Source organism: Homo sapiens, chromosome 10 (assembly GCF_000001405.40).
Source record: "Homo sapiens chromosome 10, GRCh38.p14 Primary Assembly".
NCBI lineage: Eukaryota > Metazoa > Chordata > Mammalia > Primates > Hominidae > Homo > Homo sapiens.
This window is the reverse complement of record NC_000010.11, coordinates 85,192,208-85,214,634: the sequence shown is the minus strand read 5'-3', so window position 1 is coordinate 85,214,634 and position 22,427 is coordinate 85,192,208. Positions and strand designations below refer to the sequence as shown.

The 22,427-nt window shown below is 40.4% G+C and overlaps 2 long non-coding RNA genes across 4 annotated transcripts; one reads left to right on the top strand and one right to left on the bottom strand.

Moving 5' to 3' along the window:
* Nucleotides 1-1,832: 1,832 nt before the first annotated feature.
* Nucleotides 1,833-15,662, bottom strand: LOC105378402 (uncharacterized). Of its 2 annotated transcripts, none has more exons than XR_001747302.1 (2): nt 15,593-15,662; nt 1,833-2,346 (listed from the first exon to the last, which is right to left on the bottom strand). It is a non-coding gene; the product is annotated as an uncharacterized LOC105378402 (long non-coding RNA). The 2 variants fall into 2 exon arrangements; XR_946152.2 differs by lacking the exon at nt 15,593-15,662 and adding an exon at nt 15,335-15,567.
* A 34-nt stretch (nt 15,663-15,696) lies between these two features.
* LINC01519 (long intergenic non-protein coding RNA 1519) lies at nt 15,697-21,214 on the top strand. 2 transcript variants are annotated; one of them, NR_120667.1, is made up of 4 exons: nt 15,697-15,716; nt 16,679-16,871; nt 17,702-18,781; nt 20,461-21,214. It is a non-coding gene; the product is annotated as a long intergenic non-protein coding RNA 1519 (long non-coding RNA). The 2 variants fall into 2 exon arrangements; NR_120668.1 differs by lacking the exon at nt 15,697-15,716 and adding an exon at nt 15,730-15,926 and having other exon boundaries at nt 17,702-17,757.
* Nucleotides 21,215-22,427: the final 1,213 nt, after the last annotated feature.

The following is a 22,427-nucleotide window of genomic DNA, read 5'->3' as shown; positions in this document are numbered from 1 at the left end:
TCCTCCACTTGGTTTATTCTGTTACTAATACTTATGATTGTATTATGAAAATCTTGTAGGGATTTTTTCATCTCTACAAGTCCAATTTCGTTCTTTCTTAACATTTCTTCTTTCAGCTATTTCATCTTTCAGCTCCTGGATCATTTCACTGGATTCTTTTGATTCCTTGGATTGGGTTTCAATTTTCTCCTGAATCTCAATGAATTTTTTTGCAATTCACATTTTGAATTCTATGTCTGTCATTTCAGTCATTTCAGACTAATAAAGAACCATTGCTTTGGAGCTCGTGTGATCATTTAGAGGTAAGGGGACACGCTGGCTTTTTGAATTGCCAGAGTTCTCGTGCTGATTCTTTCGCATCTGGAAGGGTTGATATTCCTTTAATTATGATGTAATTTGAGTATAGTCAATTGGCTTCACTTCTGGATGCTTTCAAAGGGCTATGGCTCTGTACAGAATCTTTATGTGTAGGTGAATTGTTGCACTTGGTTTCATGGGTGTGTATTATTAATGGGATAAATTTTTGGTACTATAGTTTGGGCTCTGATAGAGTAAATGGTAATTAAGGGTACCATTTACTGGTATATTAACCTGTAGATAGGTTAATACACAGCCACGGGGCTATTTTGTACTTCCTTGTGTTTGCAGGCATGCTCTGCAGTGGATGGGGAAAGAGAGATGGCCCCTTCATCCAGGTCTGCTCCTCCTATCACTGCCACTGCACTCACATTTTTTTTGGTAAGGTGTTTTGGGCTGCAGGAACCCCTTGGGCAGAAGCTGTGGCAAGGAGATATACCACACCTTCTCTGAACAGGTCCTGTGGAGGGAGGCACATCCTGCTCCTGCCCTGGACTAGGGACCCATGCATTTCATCCCTCTAAGTGCTCTGAGAATGGAGGCTCCTCCCCCACTTGATTGACAGCCACAGATCTCAACTCTACACTTCCAAGCTGTACACTGCTGCCCTCAGGGCTCCCGGACATTCCATTGCTCAAGTTTAGGTTCTGGCTATGCTGGGGGATTTAATGTGCTCCTGGGTCACTGGGAAAATACCTAGATGCAACAACACACTCAGGCTTGACTGCAGGGGCTGTGCTGTGCACCCATTTCTACAGGGTGGCTTGGTATGGACCCTGGGAGGAGCCAGTGGGCAGGAGGGCTTGCAGAACAGATGCTCCTATGGGAAGCTGACCTTGCTCTTTCCTGGCTCAGAGGTCAGCTGAGGCCCACACCCCCTGGAGGGGAATGGGAATCCCTGGGGATTGGGTATCTATGGCCTCTTTCCTCTGGAGCTGTCCAGCACACAAAAGATATTGGTTTCCATGCCATTCAAAGGCCTGTCTCTGCCTGCTCCTTGGGGAGATCCTTTTACCAGGTCACACATCTATGGGAGATTCAGGGTCCTCTGTAGCTAGGGTCTCTTACGTCTGCAGTGAGAATGTGCCACCCCTCAATTCCCTCACTCTCCCCTTTCCCAGGAGCCCTTAGGGGCCAGGAACTAGCCCTGGCTTTCAGGCACCCTGCACAGGATTCTCGGCTTCTTCTCTCTTCATCCTGGGCTTCAGCTTTGCGTCTCTATCCACTCTCAGTGTTTTATCTCCAAACACCTGCCCAAATTATGATAGGTTACTTGATTATTTGGTCTCTCTTAGTGGAAGTGACACTTCCTGGCTGCATCTAATTGGCCATCTTATCCCCTCACTCCAATACTAGGAAATGTAACACTGATAAAGCAAAAACCATTATCTAATCCTCTGTCCATTTTGAATTTTGTCACTTGTGCCAATAATGCTCTTTAAAGCAAGGGTCTACAAACTATGGCTCACCCACCATCTGTTTTCAAATAAGGTTTTATTGGAACAAAACCAAACCCATTTGTTTACGTGCTGTCTATGGCTGCTTTCACACTATAATCACAGAGTTGAAAAGTTGCAACATAGACCATATGGTCCATACAGCCTAAAATATTTACTATCTGGCTCTTCACAGAACTGGTTTGCCAACCTCTGCCTTAGAGTTCTTTTATTCCATCTCCATTCAGAGTTATGCTTTGCACTTAATTGTCTGGTCCTTTAAATCTCCTTTAATCTGGATTAGTTTCTCATATTTTCTTTGTGTTTTTTATCCTTGACATATTTGAAGAGTATAGACCAATTATTTTGTAGAATTTCACTCAACTTGGTTTTTCTGATGTTTCCTCATGATTAGATTCAGGTTATGCATTTTTGGCAGGATATCATCAAAGTGATGTAGCATCTTTCATAGTATATCATATCAAGAGGCATGTGATACAGTTTTGTCCCAATAGTGATAATGCTAGCTTCAATCAGTTGGCTACGGTGGTGCCTATTAGAAAAAAAGATTTTATTTTTTGCTAAGAGACATTATTGGAAAAATTAGCAACATTCAGACATTGGCTGTATATTAGGTAAGAATAATTTATTAATATTGAATTTCCACTATTTGATAATTGCACTGTGGTTATATAAAATAACGTCTTTATTCTTGAGAAACTTGTGCAAATAATTTAGGAATTAAAGGTCATTATAATTATCTCTTATTATTAAATGATTCACACACACACACAGCAAATGTAAAAATACTATTTGGTCAATCGAAGAAAAGAGTATGTGTATGTCCATTTTACTATTCTTAAAGCTTTTGTATAGACTTAATTTTTTAAATATCAGGTTAAAATAATAATGCCATTGATATAGGAGTCAAGAAGAAATCACTTAGGCAGATAGCAAGGGAGTCCTCATTAAGGCTTTTCTTTTTAATGAAAAGCAGCCCCACATCATTTTCTAACAAAGCGCAGCCTGTGAAGTTCAGCTGCAGACATAGACAAGCAAGCTGGGAGCTTGCACGGGTGAATGCAGGCAGGAACTAAGGACTAGACATGTTCAAAATGGTGGTTCCATTATGTAAACCTCATAACTGATCCAACCAATCTATGAGCCCTATTTAAATTAGACACTGCCTCCTCAAAGTGGACTATAAAATTCGGCAAATTCGTCGCCAGCCGGTATTTTCCACTGGGAGACAGGCCCCTTCCTCTATAGAGGAAGCTGTTTTCTCCTTCTCTTCTCTTCTATCTGTTAAACCTCAGCTCCTAAACTCCTCACATATGTCCGTGTCCTAAATTTTTCTGGCGCACAACAACAAACCCCAGGGATATACCCTAGACAACATAGCTGCTTCAATATTGTATCATCTGGTACACAAGAGAAAATAGAGTGGGCAGAAGGAAGGTAAAATAAGTGAGGTTGAGCATGGAGACCATCATTCCCTTGGTGCTGCAAGGGGTATTTGTAGTGACTGTATTATATAACAAGGGAGTTTCTAAAGGGAAAAACCCAGGCCATTTTTACATTCCCAGACCATGACATTTACCCACATACTGGATCAAATTGATTTTTATTTAATTGGATGAAATAACTTAACAAAGTTATTAATTTACCTATGAAAGCTACTACTTCCAAAGCAGTTGAAAAAAAAATCAAGAATGAAAAGAAAAAGAAAAATACAAGGAATTACAAGAGAATTGAAGTAAATCAAAACATTTAAGCTATAAAAATAACGTAAATTATTAAAGGTGATGTCTCACACATGTTCAAAACACAAACGCAAATTAGAATAAAAGCTATTTGCAGACAGGCTTGAAACAGAAAATTCAGAGGGAAGAGCAGTAGTAGATCAGGCAAATGGAATGCAGAAAGCAGATGCAGCAGGATTAACCTCAGACAAACGAGAATGTATGGGCAAAGGTCTACACACATACTGAGTGTACTTCATATTTTAACGGAATAATTCACAACAGAGCTACAACATTTATGAACTGAATGATAAATCACTGAATAATATTTTAAAAACTGTTAGAAGATGAAAGGGAAATTGATAATAACATAATTATAGTGACAGTCCAAAACAAATTTCTGTCTTTGACACATTGAGAACAATTTCTTTAAATTATATGGAGGGCTTCCTTAATTAATGTTTCATTAATACATGTATATCAAATATACACTTATGGAAAAGACATTTTTGATGCCAACAGTATATTTACACAGGTAAATCATAACCAATACTAAAAAAGAATCTCACTAACTCAGGAGTAGAAATTCTGTCAAAATTGACAAATTATAATGCAAACAAACCAAATACTTAATACTAAATAACACATTTTGATAAAATAACCACTTAATAATTATAAGTATAAAGATGATTAACATATTTAAAACTAAATAAGAGAAAATTCACCAAAAGTCTCCAAACATTTTTTAACTCTTGATTAAAGCAGAGAACAAAGTTATCTTTAAATATTTTTTTCAAAGTTAGTGTCAAGCTAGCACTATAGCTAAAAAATTATCTCACACAAAGCTATATTCAAGAAATTCACATGCTTAATTATTTAGTATTATTAAATAAGAAGAAACTAATGAAACAAATTTTTAATTCTAGAAACAAGAATGTAACAACAAAAACTTCCTAGAAAAACGTAGGAAACATAACGAAAATAAGGACAAGACTTAGTGAATTAGAATAAGATGAAACAAAACTGAGCATTCTGATACCTGATTCTTAGAAAAGAACAATAATACGTATATGTCTCTAGTAGTAGTAAAAATGACAAAAATAAAAACCCCAAAATATATAACATTATATATGTAAAATAGGATATACCCACAGATGTAAGAATAAGTGAAACAATTCCAATGGAACTACAGAATTGAATATGTCATTTCAAGCTTGATAACATACAATTGTTGGTGCATGAAAAATTTTCTAAAAAAATACAAATTACCAAGATCTATTTTTAAAAAAACTTAGAAGAGCAAAAAGATTATTAGCTGTGATGGGAAATGATAAAAATTGTCAAAGAACCACCTCAAAAATAAGTGTTCAAGCTAGATTGTTCTTTGAAAGAATTTTATCCAATGCTATTTGAGCTATCAAAGAATAAGAGGCTAATGCAAACTTCAATGAACTATATGAAACTAGCATCAAACTGATGCAAAACTTTGGGACCATTAAGCTATAAAACATATAATAACCAATATAGAAAACTATAATAACAAGTAATAAAGGGAAGCCCAGATATTCAACAAGGTTTCTAGATAATATATATGATAGAAATCTTTTTTAATCACAAGATGAAAAGATTGCCTGTTTTTAAAATTAAGCAATTGGTAATCACTGGAGAAAAATGTAATTTAAGTGCTCACTCTACTATATACACAATAATTTTGGAATTACAGTTAAGTGATAAAAGCATGAACAAAATTAAATAATGGCAAATATATGTTAATTATTAGCTTCTGGAAACCTTCTAAGAATGGCATCAAAAGCAGTATCCATTAAGAAAAAAGTTAATAGATTTTACAAAACAAAATTGAAAAGTTATATAGGAAAAAATTTACTAGAAATTTATTGTAGAAGCAGAAAACTGAGGACAATACATAAGACATACAGAATCTGTCTTTGATATGGCTTAGGTTTGTGTCCCTCCCCATATCTCATGTTCAATTATAATCCCCAGTGTTGAAGGGGGGCCTGGTGGGAGGTGATTGCATCATAGGGACAATCCCCGTTGCTGTTCTGGGGATACTGAGTGAGTTCTCAGGAGATCTGGTTGTTTAAAAGTGTGTAGCACCTCTGCCTGCTCTCTCTTCCTCCTGCCTGGCCATGTAAGACGTGACTCCTTCCTCCTTCTGCCATGATTGAAAGTTTCCTGAGACTTCCCCAATCATGCTTCCTGTACAACCTGTGGAACCATGAGCCATTTAAATCTCTTTTCTTTATTAATTACCCAGTCTCTGGTAGTTCTTTATAGCAGTGCGAGAATGGACTAATGCGGTCTTTAATCTTAAAATTTAAAAAAACTCATAAGTTAATAAGTAAAAGAATAAAAAATAACCCAGCAAATCTACTTTTATGTATATATGACAGGTAAATAATTAGAAATAGGTGCTTAGATAAATTTGTTAAAATTTCTTCCATGAAATATTATTTATGAACTCCCAAATTGGGAAAGGGGAGATTAAACATCTGAAAATAAACTGTATTTAAATTATGGTACATGAATATGATATAATAAAAGGCAACCATTAAGCATATCATCACATTTTAAATATCATATATAATAATCAAATGTGATTCATATATTAATAGAAAAATATGATTACCATTATATGGTTACTAGTATACTAGTTCTTAAGGAGTGATGCTCACAATCTAATGCTACATTTTTTAAAATTATGAATCATCATATTTGGTATGTTTTCATCTTTTAAGAAAAGCAGCTTTGTTAAAAAAAAAGTTTCAGATGGATTTGCACAAAATTTTATCAGCAATTTATTTGGAGATAGGTGAATTTTCATTTTCTTTCTGTGCCTTGGCCTTTACAATTGCACTTTAACATGCCTCAGAATCCTCCACTCATCCTGTAGAGCATGGCAACCCTACTAGGTGCCAGGCCTTAGGGATGCTGATGATACAGCACTTAGCAAGACAAACATGCTCCTTTGTCCTAGTGGGCTTACATTATGGTGGGGTGGTAGCCAATGAACAAATAACTTAATAAGTCAGTAAGGCAATTACAAATAGGTATAGGTTCTATGAATGTACAGGTGGGAAGTAACCGGGTACTGCTTAAGATAAAGTAGTCAGGATAGGTGTGCTTCTCTGAAAAGGTAATAGCAGAGATGAAACCCAGAAGATGAGACTAAACCAATCACGGATGGTGTTGATGGAAAAGTTTGACGCCAAGAGAGTGGTAGGTGTCAGACCTTGGGAGAGCAATGGTTAGGTGTGTGACAAGAACAGAAAGGAGGCAAGAATGGCCAGGTAGTTCATAATGTAGTAGAGACTTAAGCTAGGACAGAACTGATGGGAAGCCTCTGGGAGTCACACAGGATGTGATTCACCCTGGAGTATATAAGAGGGCTCATGTTGGCTTGAAGGGTATGGAAGTGAGGATGTGTTATGATCGATCAAGACCATGCACAGGGTCAGGCAGCAATGTAGATAAGGTGTGATCCTTCTTTAAGAAATAAAAAAGTAAATATTCTAGAAAAAAAATAAATATTCTAGAATGAGAGGTGTCTTTCTAGAATTCTTTTTTCAATTCCACCTGGTAGTTTTTGTTCCTCCTGAATACCAGTTTTTTTTTTTTTTTTTTTTTTTTTTTTTTTTTTGAGACGGAGTCTCGCTCTGTCGCCCAGGCCGGACTGCGGACTGCAGTGGCGCAATCTCGGCTCACTGCAAGCTCCGCTTCCCGGGTTCACGCCATTCTCCTGCCTCAGCCTCCCGAGTAGCTGGGACTACAGGCGCCCGCCACCGCGCCCAGCTAATTTTTTGTATTTTTAGTAGAGACGGGGTTTCACCTTGTTAGCCAGGATGGTCTCGATCTCCTGACCTCATGATCCACCCGCCTCGGCCTCCCAAAGTGCTGGGATTACAGGCGTGAGCCACCGCGCCCAGCCCTGAATACCAGTTTTAATGGGAATATAGAAAAACTAGAAGTACTCAGAGGGAAGTGTCTGAGATGGACAAAGTATGAAAGGGAGTGACTAGGCTGAGGATGTCAGGCATGGCCTTCAGGGAAGTTCCACGAGGGACATCACCACTGACAATGGACCATGACTTAGATGAATTCTGTGCCTGGACTGGAATTGGGACCAGTGGGTGGAAGCTTCAGGAACCCAGAGTTGAGCTGCAGATAATGAACAACTTCTAGTTAGAGTAGCTCAGAGGGGTGGAAGTAGTGGAGATGGCAGGCAGGTAAGGAAGGGAATTGGATATTTGATAGCAGTGTGAAAAGATATGTATTTCCTCCCCCTTGCTATTCTCTGAGTATTTACCATTTAGGTTATTGGAATTATCCAGGCCAAGAATGTTAGAACAATTCTTCCTTGTTTCGTACTTCTTCTCTTTCTCTATACCACTCATCCAATCTACAAGCAAATCCAGTTAGATATACGCAGAATTCAGCTGCTTACCACCTATATCATAACCACTGTCACCCCATAGTCTCCCCGTTGTCCTTCCTTTTTCCACCATATCCCCTTCAGTCTACTTGCTCTCCATGTAGCAGCCTACACAATCCTTGGAAAACCCAAGCAATGTTACCTCTTTGTTTACAGTCCTCCAGTAATTGTTTGTTTTACTGCAAATAAAATTAAAACTCTTTATATTTGGCCACATGTCTTCTATACCTCTCTCTGACTTTATCACATTCCTCTCTCCCCACAACTGCCTCCTCCAGCCACGCTGGTCCCTTAAGACCCATGCCTTCCCCTTTTTCAGATCTCTGCTCAACAAGGAAGCCTTCTTGGCTGCCTTCCATGAAAACACCCCCGCCTCCTTGTCCAGGTGAGCTCCATGAGGGCAGTGGCTGCTCTGGTTCACGGCTGTGTCTTCAGAGCCTGCAGCATTACCTGACCTAAAGCAATTATTTATAAATGATGGTGACATAAATGAGCTAATTGAAAACATTTTAGGAGTAACAAAACACAGAGATGCTGAGGAAGCCAACACACATTAAGGAAAAAGTCATAGACGAGAGGAGGAGACAGACAAGTGAGAGGGGAGGCTGGGGAGCAGCGGGGCTTGGTGTCCCCTAACATGAATGCCTGCCTCGTGCTGAGTGGTGTCTCATCAACCTTCCCACCTCCATGATGGGGGAATGTGGTCTTCACCCCAAAGGGGGATATAGGGGACTATGGTAGGGTTTTTTAGGGGCTTGACACAGTCAGTTTTTTTTTTTTATAAGGATAGCGCCAAGCGTTTCGTGGAGTTGGTAGGGCAATGGGTGAGAGAGGAGGCTGCTGTAATATACCCTGTGAGAAAAGGCTTTTGCTTGAACTTAAACCATCTATCAGTGTGGATGGAGATAAAGAAATGGCTTTTAGAGAGAGGTAGGAGGAAGAACCCTAGAATTCAGTAATGCAAAACCATAAATCAAGCATAATCTTAAGAGGCAGATATTATTCCCAGAAGCCATCTCACCTTATCTGCTATAGTCGTTTCTGTTTATGGCTTTCAATGAAAGCAATTAGAAATACCTTCAGAATGTCTTCTTCATGAAAACTAAGGTTGTCAATCTGCACACTCTGGAGAATAGACGTGACTCTGACAACTCTCAACCCTGTATTCAGTTGCCAGCTCATACTGCACAATGAATAATGAAACACTACAAGTAAGGACCCAGCCTCTTATAGCTCAGTGCCCTGAGCCCCAGAGAAAGAAATAGATACTTTGAACATATTTTATCGTAGCACCCATTTGTGGGCATGGTATCAATTTTGTTAAAGCTTTATCCCAGCATACTTAAAATCTAAACCTGTTGTCAGACTGAATTGAAACTCCCCTTTCTCCTCCTCATTATCATTTTTTCACCCTGCTAGTACCACATGCAGCCAGATCCCTGGTTCCCAAGGATCCTGTTTAACTCCAAATTCAGAACTGCCTGCCTTGACTTCTCTGCCCAGAGAAACTGTCTAAGTCAGCGAGACCTTGACTTTTACATAGAGAATTCGAGTCTGGGCAAATCTAACATTGGAGCAACAACTACACGAAGGGGAAACATTGCAAAATGTAAGAGGGATTTTTTTTTTCGGGGGTTGGCAGTAGATCCTGGGGAATGTGATTTAAAACAAACAAACAAAAACAAAATATGTGTTAAGTTGAACTCGTGAGTGAAAAGGGAAAATAAACATCACAGGATCAGAGAAACACAAAGTCCACAGAGGACCAGGTTGAGCCTGTATACCCAATAGAAGCAATTCCACTTTTTTAGCCTCTAACTTGGCATTGAACAAGACTGGGTTAAGCTAAACAGGGGGTCTACTGCTTCAATATCTCTACATAGGATTGCATTGGAGGGAGATTGGGCCTCTGAAACCAGTGGCTTTTGATACCTCGGAGACTGGCAGAGCACAGTAGATACAAGAAAAGCAGCCAGTTTCAGTAGGATGGGTGCTCTATGATGGAACCCTCAACAGGAAGTCATCTGGTGGTAAGATGTCAGAAGCCAGAAATCTGTGAGCATCATGCAAACATTCTCTCCACATGCATTTATTCATGCAACAACCCCCTCATCTGCATTCACTACTGGGCTAGAAATATGGGAAATAGAGGGTCATCTTTCTGCTGCCTCTGTTTTCTGTCTAGAGGAGGATGTGACACAGTTATACAAGCAACCCCTTAGGAGATGCCATTATTCATACCAAAGACCAGAAAGAGCCCTTTACTGTCTTCTGCAGCCGTCCATTGAGGGTTGCTTTCTTTTTTGATGTGAAAAGCAATTAGCCACGACCAGCGACAGGGCACCATGATGCTGCTTTGATTTGATAGCAAGAGCTCAATGTACTGCTTATCTACACTTTATTTCCTTGCTTTTGAATTCACGGGTCATAATAAAGCATTGCATGTCCACAGACCTGCACAAAGAATTAATTAAGAGGAGCCTTTTAATGTAGAAAGCAGCTTACTGAGATAATGGAAAAGGCTTTGGTAAAACTTGGCTTAATTGGAATTTCAAGCAATTCCTGGCTTGTCGTACCAGGGATTTTTACTGTTATAGACCGGATGAGCAAGCTGTTTAAAGAGCTTATGGGCAGAACTGGACTCAGAGGTCTCGGCAGAGATGGATTTGGCTCAAACAATTGGGGCTGCCTCAGAAAACGGCAAGGAGGGAGCATAGACTTGCTCTCTTGTCACTGCATGGACTTGCAAGGCTTATAAATCTCTATTATCCCAAATAACTCAGAAACTAGGAGATAAACTGGAGGGTCAAGTTCCAGGACAGCAAACTTGCTGCTTATTTCTAGATACAAATAGGGAATGAGATAAAGAGGGAACAAATGAAGAATATGGACTTTGATGTTTGAGAGGCATGGATTCATGCCCCAGTTCTACTATGTACTTCCTGAAAAATTGTAGATAATAATACTGTCCTCACAGGAGCAGTGTGAATATTAACTGTTAATAGAGCATGTTAAGTGCATAGTGCTCTGCTGCAATGTGCAGGATTCTCTGTGTAGGACACATCAGTGGACAAGACACAGACACATCCTTAGAGAAGTTTATAATGGGACATAGATGGCAGACAAATTATACTGGCTGGGATGAAGCCTTTTCCATTTGAATCACGGTACATTAACTGAGCAACTGGAAGACAAAGCCAATTGAAATGAATGCCTTTCAAGGGCATAAAAGAGCTTCAGGGAAGAAGAAAATGGCTCTGTCTCTTCGTGGGCTGCCTAACGGTGGGAAGAGGCATAAAAAGATGACTGAGAGTTTAGCAATTTAGCCATGGCTTCCTTGTCTCACTGCCCCACCATACAGCTCTAGGGCTTTCTCCCTGGGTCCAAATGCTGCTGCTGCTCATCATAAGCACCTGTGCATGAAATTCAGTGGGGCCTTCTGAAGGGCTGTTTGTCTGAAAATTAGCTTGATTCACATCTGAATTACCAATGATTACTAATGATTAGTTGATTACAACTTGACATAAGCTTCAATTGCTATAAAGTGCTATATGTCACCCTAAAATATATTCTACTGGAGGCAAATTCTATCTACTTCTTGTTGTTGCATTGGAGCTGAGCTCAGATTGTCTTAGTATATATTGTGGACGGCTTTGGGGAACATGCACTTATTCTTCTCCTGTGATGTTTAGTCTACCCATTAGATTAAGGAGTGCAAAGAGCAATTTCTCCTCTCCAAGATAAGAGCAGGAGTCTTTTCAGGGGTGCCAATTTCTGTGGCAAAAATGCTGTTTCTTCTCTGGCAGTAACAAAGAGGATAGAACTGAATCGGGGCATTCTCCTAAAGCTTTCTTCAGCTTAGCAAATACGTATGTATATCTTGGAAAATAAGCAGCCTTAAGTAAGACCTGAGAGGTGAGAAAAGATCCAGAATAATATGGATTTGCTGGGGAAACAAAAAGTATTCTAAATAAAGTGGCAGAAAGCTTCCCCAGTACCACAGAAAACTCCAGAATGGGCTTCTCAGAAGAGGCAAAATCATGGCAGTTTATGTGAAGGAAAATAGACCCATATCTGTTATTCTCCTCACTATATGCTGTGTAAGTGCTCAATATGAGTCTATTACTGTTGGGAGCTTTCATGTTTGTCCCTAATTTTATCTGCACAATAAGCCTGAAAGGCATTTGTTTTTATTCGCATTACAGATTAGGCTACCTAGGCTAAGAGAAGGCAGCCTGGGAAAATTACTCTCATAAAGTAGCATTCCAGAAACAGTGGAGTAAAAATCTCTTAGTAATAGGAGAAATCTTGTATTCTACACTCTTAATTGTTTCTGGAATGCTATTTTGCCTTCACTTTGCAATGACCTGGAGCAGTTTTCTGGTGGTTCTATTCTAAAACTCCTACCAGTGTCCCTACCCTAGCAGCAGGGAACTCTGAAGACCTTCCCACTCCACACCAGGAGTTCCCAAAGATGAGTGTGCCTCAGAGTCACCTGGAAGGCTTGATAAACACATATTGATAGGCCTCACTCCCGATTTACTATGTCTGGGTGTGGCAAGAACATTTACATTATTTTTTATTGAGATAGACTTTACATATTAAAAAGTTCAACCATTTTAAGTGTACGATTCAGTAATTTTTAAAAATTTTACCTATTTGTACAACCATCAATGCAGTCTATTTTTGTAACATTTCCATCACACCAGGAAGAAACTTTGTACCTATGAAGTCACTCCCAGTTCCCACTCCTAGTCCCCAGCAACCATTAATTTACTTTCTGTGTCTATAGATTTGCCTGTTCTGGAATCACACAACATATGATCCTTTTCGTTGACCTTCTTTTTACTTAGCATAGTGTTTTTGAGATCTGTTCATGTTGTAGTATGTACCAGTATTTCACTCAATTTTATTGCTGAATAATATTTCAGTCATTGTGTAGGCCACAATTTGTGTATCTATTTACTGAGAATTTGTATTTCTGACAAGTTTCCAGTTGATGCTGAAGCTGCTATTCTGGTGATTACATTTTGGGAACACTTTGTGGTCCACGCCAACAGTTCTCAGCCTTGGCTATGTGTTGGAATTTCCAGAAGAGATTTTAAAAAATGCCATGCCTGGGCCTCATCCATAGTTTGATTTAAATGGTCTGAGACAGGGCTCAGGAATGGACCCTTTATCAAATTCCACAGGTAATTGAAATGTACAGCTGAGGTTGAGAACTGTGTCTCTATACCCTTGCTACTCAATGTGTGCTCTATGGACCAGCAGCAGCAGTGCTTAGCCTGGGAGCTTGTTGTAATCTCTGAATCTCAGACCCGTCCCCAAACTTCTTGAATCAGGTTCAGTATTTTAACTGAATCTGGTTGATTAATCCCTGGTTGATTCTCAGATGCATGTAGATTTGAGAAGGGCTGCCTCACAGCACCGTAAAATGCCAAGGAGAAGAAAACAGGAACAAAAGGAAAATTTCACTTTCAGAATGAACTGTGATGATAACCAAAAAAAGGGCTGCTGATGAACAGGTGGTTCCTTTCATTTGAGGTGCCGAGATTAGCTCTTGCATTGATTAAATCGTGGGATAATTTCTGACCTTCTTCTCAGTCCCTATGGCTATAGATGAATGTAGTGAAGGAAGCTGGATTAAACTGCCTGCTCTAAATAAATCTCACTCCCTTTCCAGGGAGTATGGATGGGACATACTAATGAGTTTCAACTGTGCTCATCCTAATAAGAACATGCTGGGAGTCCTCTAACAACAATTGCTTGAATTGCTAGAGCTGTTTGGATTCCATGGGACCTCAACATCTTGATCAGATTAATTAATCCACTTGAGTATGACCATTTTTGGGAGGGTGAACCTCCTTAGATCTCAGCATGAATAGGTAGGTATTAGGGAATAGAAATCAAGCCATAGAGTATGTCTGGAGGAACTTGGTGTACTAAGGAGGACAGAAGCTCAAAGAGGTACTTAATGCTCAGAGTGATGATAATGATAATGGAAGTCCCAGAAAGACAGACCCAAACCCACATTTGGATGGAAGAGTATAATCAGGGGAGGCTCCCTGGAGAAGGTGATTATTAGGATAATGTTGAAAAAATCCACAATAATTTACCAGGTTAGCGGGATGGGATGTGAAAGTACAAGAGAAAACTAAGCAGGCAGAGGGAATAAGTAGGACAAAGGCCCATAAACATTAAAATACTTGAAATCCTGATGCTTTTTTAGATCCAGGGTTTGTAAACAAAAATTGCTTTGCCTATAGAAGCTCAAATTATTATCTTTTGTGGAAGATCAGGAGAGGGATATATGATTAGTTTTGCGCATGAAGCCAGAAGTACTTTCAAAGCAGACAGAGACCCCAAACTCAGCTATGCTTTTAACAAAGAAATGACTGCACTTCTTTGAGCCTGTGGGTCCTGGCACATGAAGATATGTTTAGGGTCTTTCTCCATCTTCTCACCCAGGGTGGGAAATCTGACAGCTCCTCTCTGGAGCCTTGTGACATGGGGGTACCCAAGAACTTGTTGGGGAGGAAGCTGACAACCAGACAAGTGGACAGTCCATCGCTCAGGACACAAACAGACCCAATAGGCCAAAGGAGACTAGGAAAGTAACTTAGGTCTTGACCTCTGTGAAATCAGAGATGTAGATAGAAACTTGCGTTCAAATCAGAGCCTAGAAACTCACCAACTGTATGAAAAGAGTGTGGGTAAAATGTCAAACACAGGGTCAAATTTGATATAGATGATCAATCAATGCCAATTACCTTCCCTGCCATAATCTGGGAATCAAACCCAGGTTCCAATTATCACTTATACTATTCACCTCCCTTTTATTGCCCCTTAAATTTACAGTCTTTATCTGTACAGCCAGAGCCACTCCTGACTGTAGATCCATGAGACAGCCAACTAAAGAATTTAAATTTCCCATCTCTACCTCCCTTCCTCTCTCTTCCTCCTTTCCTTTATCCTTCCTCCTTCCCTCTCTCACTTTCTTCCTTCTTTTCTTCCTCTCTCCCTCCCTCCTCCTTCCTTCTTCCTCCCTTCCTTCTTTCTTCTTTTCTGATTTGTTTTCTTTCTTCCCTTCTTTCTCCCTCCCTCTCTTCCAAATTAAATGAACCCTGCTGCAACTGCCTGAATACTAAGGGCTTAAACACATCCAGAACAAGTGGAAGAAATTAACATTCAAGGGATTATCTCATTTCAATCCTCAAAATAACTCCATAAACTAGATAATAATATCCTATCCACATTTTACACTTTTAGAAATATTGAGGCAAGTAATCTTGCCCAAGACCACTCAGCCAGTCAGTGGTGGAGCTGGTGTGTCTAAATTTATTTACCCTGGATTCCGCTGCCTAACAATGGAACTGTTGCATGTACCAGTGGCTCAGCAGACACTGGAGGGACATACGTTCCCGGATGCCCCATAGCAATGGCATTGGGGTCACCACCTTCAGAAATAGACTGTGATGATCTGGGAGCAGTCCTGGGATTGTGAATGTTGCTGTGAATATGAGTGGATATGAATCACCCCAACTTATAAGGTCTGTGACCACAGGCCCAGGTAGCTGAGATGCTGCTCTGAGAGGGGGGCTCACCTGATGTTTCCATGTGTCTCAGTTAAAATCCGTACTGTATTGTGAGGTCACACAGGAATGAGATCCACAGAAGGGCATATGAATCACAGCTGCAGAACAATTCCATTTTGTTGGATACCAGTAGGCAAGTTAGCTTGAAAAAAACTACGCTTATGAAAGGGTTGGATGAGTCCATTTTGGGTAGCCTGCAGTGTAGCAGGATATTTCTTGTCCTTAATTACTCTGTCCTCTGGTGGGAACAGAAAATACAGTTAATCCATCCCATTCTGTCCTCAGAGCAGAAACTCCCCTTGATTATTTCAACTTTTAAAATACTCATTGTGTTTGAATGAATGTGATTGTTTGATTGTTGTTTTTAATTTGTAAATTAATATAATTAACAAAGAAATCCTAACTGAAGTGTAGGATTACATTTATTTGGCATCTACTCCATTAATGTCTAGCATCTAAAAAGCATTGTTAATCGTATGAACACTGTTAATTATCTCAACATGTTTAATTGCTGTTTTCTTAAATAACTAGTAGGCCATATGTAAATGATCTTTCATGCATTAACACTTCATTTTGTGAAAAAGTAAAACACAAAAGCAGGTTGCATGAAACATTAAACCAAACATGATCTCTGGGCCATTCGTGGAGTATTGGGAAAACGGGAAACCGAGATAATGTTTCCCCCTTACCATGCCAACCTCATACCTCAGTGTCCCAGAGGGGCAAACATAGCTACACTTGGAAATATTATAGAAATGTCAAAAGAACAGCAGATCTGCAGTGTAAATTGCGAAACATATGTTAAAATTCTATTTTTCCTGCGACTGTAAACTTTATAATTTTTTATCAAGCTAGGAAACAAAAGTCATAATATCTAACATTTAGGAACATTTGCTATATTCCAAGCACTGTGCAAGGGCTGGGTGGTTTTCTTTTTTCATTTCATTCTATAGTGGTCCTATTGTGTAGAAAATATGATTATCATCTCAATTTGTAAATTCAGGGAAAAAATTAGGTAGCTTGCCCAAGACCACACTCCTAGTGTGGTAGCCATTAAGGATGTTGGTCTAGTAATTTCCTATTTCCTCCTTCCAGGTGGGATTGAACAGCAGCCTCTTTTAGTGGGCTTTCTTTACAAAACCCAACGACTCTACCTCTCTGCTTGCTAAGCATGTGAACTTATCATCTAATGGGGAATGCAAGACTCACTCTCCAGTAAACCTAGAAAACTTAGATAACCTTGCTTCTCATCTAATGAGACAGATATATTCTTCTCTCCAGAAGACAGGTTTGATGCGGGAAAATACTTCTGATTTTTTTCCTCTATAAGTGGGGAGGCATAAGGGTGAATGTAGAGGGAGGGGGAAGAGGTGTGTGTTTCTGTGTGTGTGTGTGTGTGTGTAGAGAAAAAAAGTGAGGATGTGTGAGAAAGAGAGACAGAGAGAGAGAGATGCATAGAGGACATGAAAAGAGGACATCAGACCACTAAACATGGTCTAATCACTTAAAATTTTATATCAATTTAAAAATTTGTTAAACCTGAAAGGGCTGAAAAAGATAGAAATTGAGAGAGTGAAACAAAAGGTCGGGGCATGGGGTTAAGTGGGGTATGATTTATTGGGGCCAATGCACATGGCAAATCAAGGTGAGAGAATGATTTAGCCGCGGGCAGCACAAGCCACTGCCAAAGATGTGGTTCAGTGCACAAGTTACCCAAAATGTCACGAATGACAGTAGTTGTACATTCTTGAAGGGAAAACACTACACCAATTGAGTTCCTGGAGTTTTCCTTTTTTCTTTTTTAGCTTTCCCTAATTATTGACATATTTGGCCACATTTCCATTATTTTCTTGAGATACACACAAATTGCTCGTTGTTCATGTGTTCAAATGCATATATCTAGAGAGGAAAGGACAAAGAATACACTTGAGTCTAAAGGACCTCATTCTCTCTAGAGAGATTACACTCATAAGTCCAATGTAAATTGGCTTGCATGACATGCAAATATAGGCTTCATGAGTCCAGGAAAGACTGTAGCAGGCTCTAGGCTCTAGTCTGCCCTGTTTGAAACAATGAAGAGTATTATTTGTGAATAGTTTGTTCTTCTTGAAATTCCAGGTGTAACATGGATTCCATGCCACTGGGCAACTGTTCAACTGCCCTGAAGAAACGGTGTACGTATCACAAGTATCACAAAGGGCTGCTGGGTCCACTGAGTGATTGTTTTGCATTAGGTGAGACTGTTTCGAAGCCATGATGTTTCACAAGTCTCTGATTCTATATGTGCTGTTTGCTTTGGAGTGAAATTACTTCCTCATGCTTAGCACCACCATTGCCTGATTCCTGTCTGCCTGGAATGATTATCTCCATCTTCAATTTGCAAGTGAAGAAACTGAGCTATAGGGCCATGGCACTAACAGGTTCTCTGGAAAGCAGTGGCTAAGATGGAGTCAGAAATAGAAAAGCTTATTGTGGATTAATTCCTGGGGTGTGATGGCTCATACTTGTAGTCCCAGCACTTTGGGAGGCTGGGGCTGGGGCTTTGCTTGAGCCCAAGAGTTTGAGAACAGCCTGGGCAACACTGGGAGACCCTATCTTTACAAAATATACAAAAATTTAGCTGGTTGTGATAGCACACACCTGTAGTCCCAGCTACTTGGGAGGCTGAGAAGAAGGATCGTTTGAGCCTGGGAGCTCAAGGCTGCAGTGAGCCATGATCATGCCACTGCACTCCAGCCTGAGTGACAGAATATCAGGAGCCATCAGACCACCATGCAGACTTGACAAGGTCTCTGCACAGTCCCAGAAGAAACAAAGCAAAGACTGCCCACTAGAGGAGTCCCCTTTTGAAGGAAATGCCTGGACCCTTTTTTCTCTACCATGCTTAGTCATTGGCAAGGGCTGCCCTAAGAGCAGCATGACTTCAGCTTATAAGTGTGGATGAACTGTACGCCTAATAGCTAGAGGCCATCAGCTATCCACACTCTTCTCAACTGAGTAGCAACTCCATTCTTGAAAGGGAACCTGAGAAACCTATCTCTATGTCTGCCACAGGTGGTAAACTTTTCCACTGTCATGAATAGTAGCAAGTGGCAGGAACAGGATTTGAATCCAGGTGATATGATTCCAGCTCCAGTGTTCTCATCCACTGCTTACTCCAGTTGTGTCTAGCATAGAGATGCCGGAGAGAAATTACAGGTACATCCACCTCCCTTTTCTACAGAGTTCTCTGTGGCCCATCCACTCCCTGAACAGGACTTCCTACTCTCTTGGTGACCAGGACCGCTCTGCTGGTGTCTGCTGCTATAAAGCCCTGGTGTGGCCTTCTCACCACTTACCCTTTTACCAGCACAGGATGGGCCCTGTACTCCCTCTAAAGGTATCCTGTTTGCTGGCAGCTCTCCTCCCTTCCCTTCTGGGTCCTCATCAACCCATTTTTCAGTCTAGATTTCTCCAGGTTAAAAACAGGATAAACAACTTTATCCTTGTTTTTATGAATATCCCAACCCATAGCCCTTCTCTCTTCATTTTGCCCTGTGATAGAAGCAATCCTGTTGGGGTTGCTGATCTGCTTTTTCATCCTACCTCCTCTCTCAGTAAATTCAAGGGATATTGTCTATAGGATTGGTCTGAGGAAAACACCTGTGACTACAGAATCACATCAAATGTCAAACCTTCTAGGGGCCCCGGGTTCCCGCATCTTCCCTGTTAAGGTGGAAGGTTTACATCAGAGTCTTACCAACCATGAGTTTTAACTCCACAGTGACAGGGGCCATGGCCTTTCCCCAAAACACCTATTAAACTCTTTCACAAATAGAATCCTCAGTGGCTGAACATATCAGAGTCTTACATAGATCAACATATCAGAGTCTCTTCTTGGATAGATGTACAGAATAGCAATCACCCTGCAACCATGGCTACATTATAAATGAGCTTTCCAAAGGGCCATCAAACAGAGGAAGAGAGATGGAGAGAAATTTTGAGGAGATTTGCTTTTTTCCCCACCTTTATTGCATATTGAATCTTTCCTGGGTGAGGATGAGATTCTACTCAGCTGTTCTCCTAAGGAGTCAGCTGTCAGTGTATTAATGTGATCCCTGCTGCAACCCCAAGTGAATAATGATAACCTGGCAGACACGCAATTATGCATTGACAATTTTAGAGCTGCCTCTGCCAGCCCCATCCTCCCCAGCAACTCATAGCTTTCAAGCCTCAGCCCCACATGATTTCTAAATCAATCATAGCCCAGGCAGGGGACAGCCAGCCCACAGGTTTGTGAATCTTGCTTCTGTAAGGTCAGTGTGGACATGATGAGGTTGAACCTTGGATAGTCTGTCCCCTTCCCCAAATGGCCCCAACGTATCACTGAGGCTGTTTGCAATATGATACTGTTTTTCCCAAATGTTTTGACATTGAGGCTACATCTGCAGCAATAACCCAATGGAAAATGTAGCTAAAGAGATGATAACATGCCACCTGGGAAAGGAAGCAGCATCAAAAATCTAATTTCCATGAACAAATTCCCGCAACACTCATTGATGGGACAATCATATTCACCTAAATCTTTAACTGAGCATTTACAAACTATGATTCCATTAGATTTTAAACAAGACTATTCTTGCAAATATGTTTTTATGGAAAAACTAATAAGAACAACCTAATATTGTATCTAGTGTGAGAATTTTTTTAAAAGATAATTTTAAGCTACAGAACTAACATAAGCTATACCTCTATTTTTCCTGGTGAATATTATGAAACAAAAAGATTTTAAAGCCCTGGTAGACATTAGGATAAAACCCAAACTTAAAATTTGGGTTGTGTGCCAATTTAAATTTAATCTTCTAGTTATATTTAATTATTCTGTTCCTTTTATTCAGGGGTGTTGTCTCCATGTCTTCTGTGAAGAGCACTCTCTTAGCCTAATGCCTCCTCAGGGACCTCGAACTTTGATCTCTGAACTGCGTCCTCCCAGGGCCCAGAGGGAAGATCAATCACTCAGGCATCTCCCAGGACACCAGGTCAAGTGGCAGAAGTTCATCCTCTGGGATTCTTTGTCCTCTGTAACATCGATTGTCAACTTGGCAAAGCCAGCTTGACAATACCAGAGTCTTTGTGTACAATCCATAGACAGCACTGGGAAGAGCAAACCATGAGAGGCCAGCACTAAACCCTCAGGGTAGCTAAAGAGGAAGCATGGTAAGACCTCATTCTGCAGCAGAAAAAAACAAACAATCTGCTCTACATGTACCCAGCATCATGTGAACATGAACCAGTTGAGTATCGCCTGGGCCTCTGTTTGCTCATCTGTAAATGGGCTGGTTGCCCCTTCTTGCAATGGACAAGCCTGCATCCGCAGAGTTCGAGTCCTGTGTCTTGTGTCCTTGCCACATCCTCCTCTGGGAGCACTCCGCAAAAGCTGTTATTGTTAGCCCCCTTCTCTCAACCTCCCCAATCATTGCACACTCATAGACAAAGGACAATCTGATCTTTATGTGACCAAGATAAAATTTGATGGGAGATCAGCAAGACATAAAGGAAGGTTCTTAAATGACATATTTATCCCAACATTGTTCTGGGAAGAAAAGTATCCATTGTAAAAACTAAACATGTCTGATTAAATGATAAATGCAGGAAGCTGACAGTGGAACAGTCACTATGCCAAAGATTCTCAGATTATCAAAGCCCTGTCAGGCCACTTCAGAAAAGGGGATTCCCAATATGAGTTCACAATACTTTGACATCTGAAGAGGTCAGTTAGCCTAAGGCAAAGGAACTGCAATGTGCCAGCCTAAATGTTCTGCTTCTCACTCTCACAGAAAGAAGGAAAACTGGAAAATGGGAATCAGCAGTTGTGGAGAGCGCAGACTTTCCTAAGTATTCTGGGGATACTAGTAGGAGTTAGAGGAGAGAGTATGTATTTTGTAGCCAAATAGAAGTCTTTTTGGGACATGCTGGATTAAGAACATTGCTAGACTTTTGGTATATGACACATGATTTATTCCTTATCCCAACACTTCAAATTTTAGGTCAACATATCTCTCTTTCTCTGTAGTGGGAGATGAATTCAATGACTTACTCAAGGTCATACAGTTAGTTATGTCAGAACTTGAATTTTATCTCAAGTCAGCTTTATTCCCATACTGGCAGTTTTCTGTATGATTGTGTTCATTATACAAGAAAGGAGCAGGAAGTTCTTTGGAAGGATATTTTGAGATTTAAAAATAAAGCTTTCCAATAAAGACTATGGTCATCAGAATAAAACCTGCACATGTATGGGCAGTATGCAGTTGATCATGTTCTCCACCTTCAAGTCTATGCAAAATCAACATCCCAAGGACAGGCATAAGCCACATTCTCTTTCACTAGCTAGTACAGAGCCAGAGCAATTGATAAGAACCGTTGTCTTTGTTGAGCATAGAGGTATCATTAGACTAAAGAAATGTCATTGGAAATTCTTTCCAATGTGGCCAGTCTCAGTCCAAGCCCTTTCCTAGCTGGGTATAAGGATTAGTCAGGTGGCAGAGCTACTCCTTTCTGAAGCCAGAAGGAGCAAGTCCAACAAGGTCTCGGGCCTTCGCATCTGGAAGTGGGGTACCCAGGCTGATTTTTTTGAAACAGGAAAAGTTGTGTCCTGTCGTTCCCTTTCCCTGGGAAACTTACCCAACTTTCCAGCCAAGCTCCTCACTCTCACAGTCTGTGCTGTATCTCAAGTGTGCATCCCTGGACACAAACCTAGTTCTGCACATCTGCACTCTTAAATGTTAAACTCATACCCTGCTCCCTTAGAATTACACCCCTCACACCATCTCCACAGAAAATGGTGTGTGCCAAGAAATGGACTTAA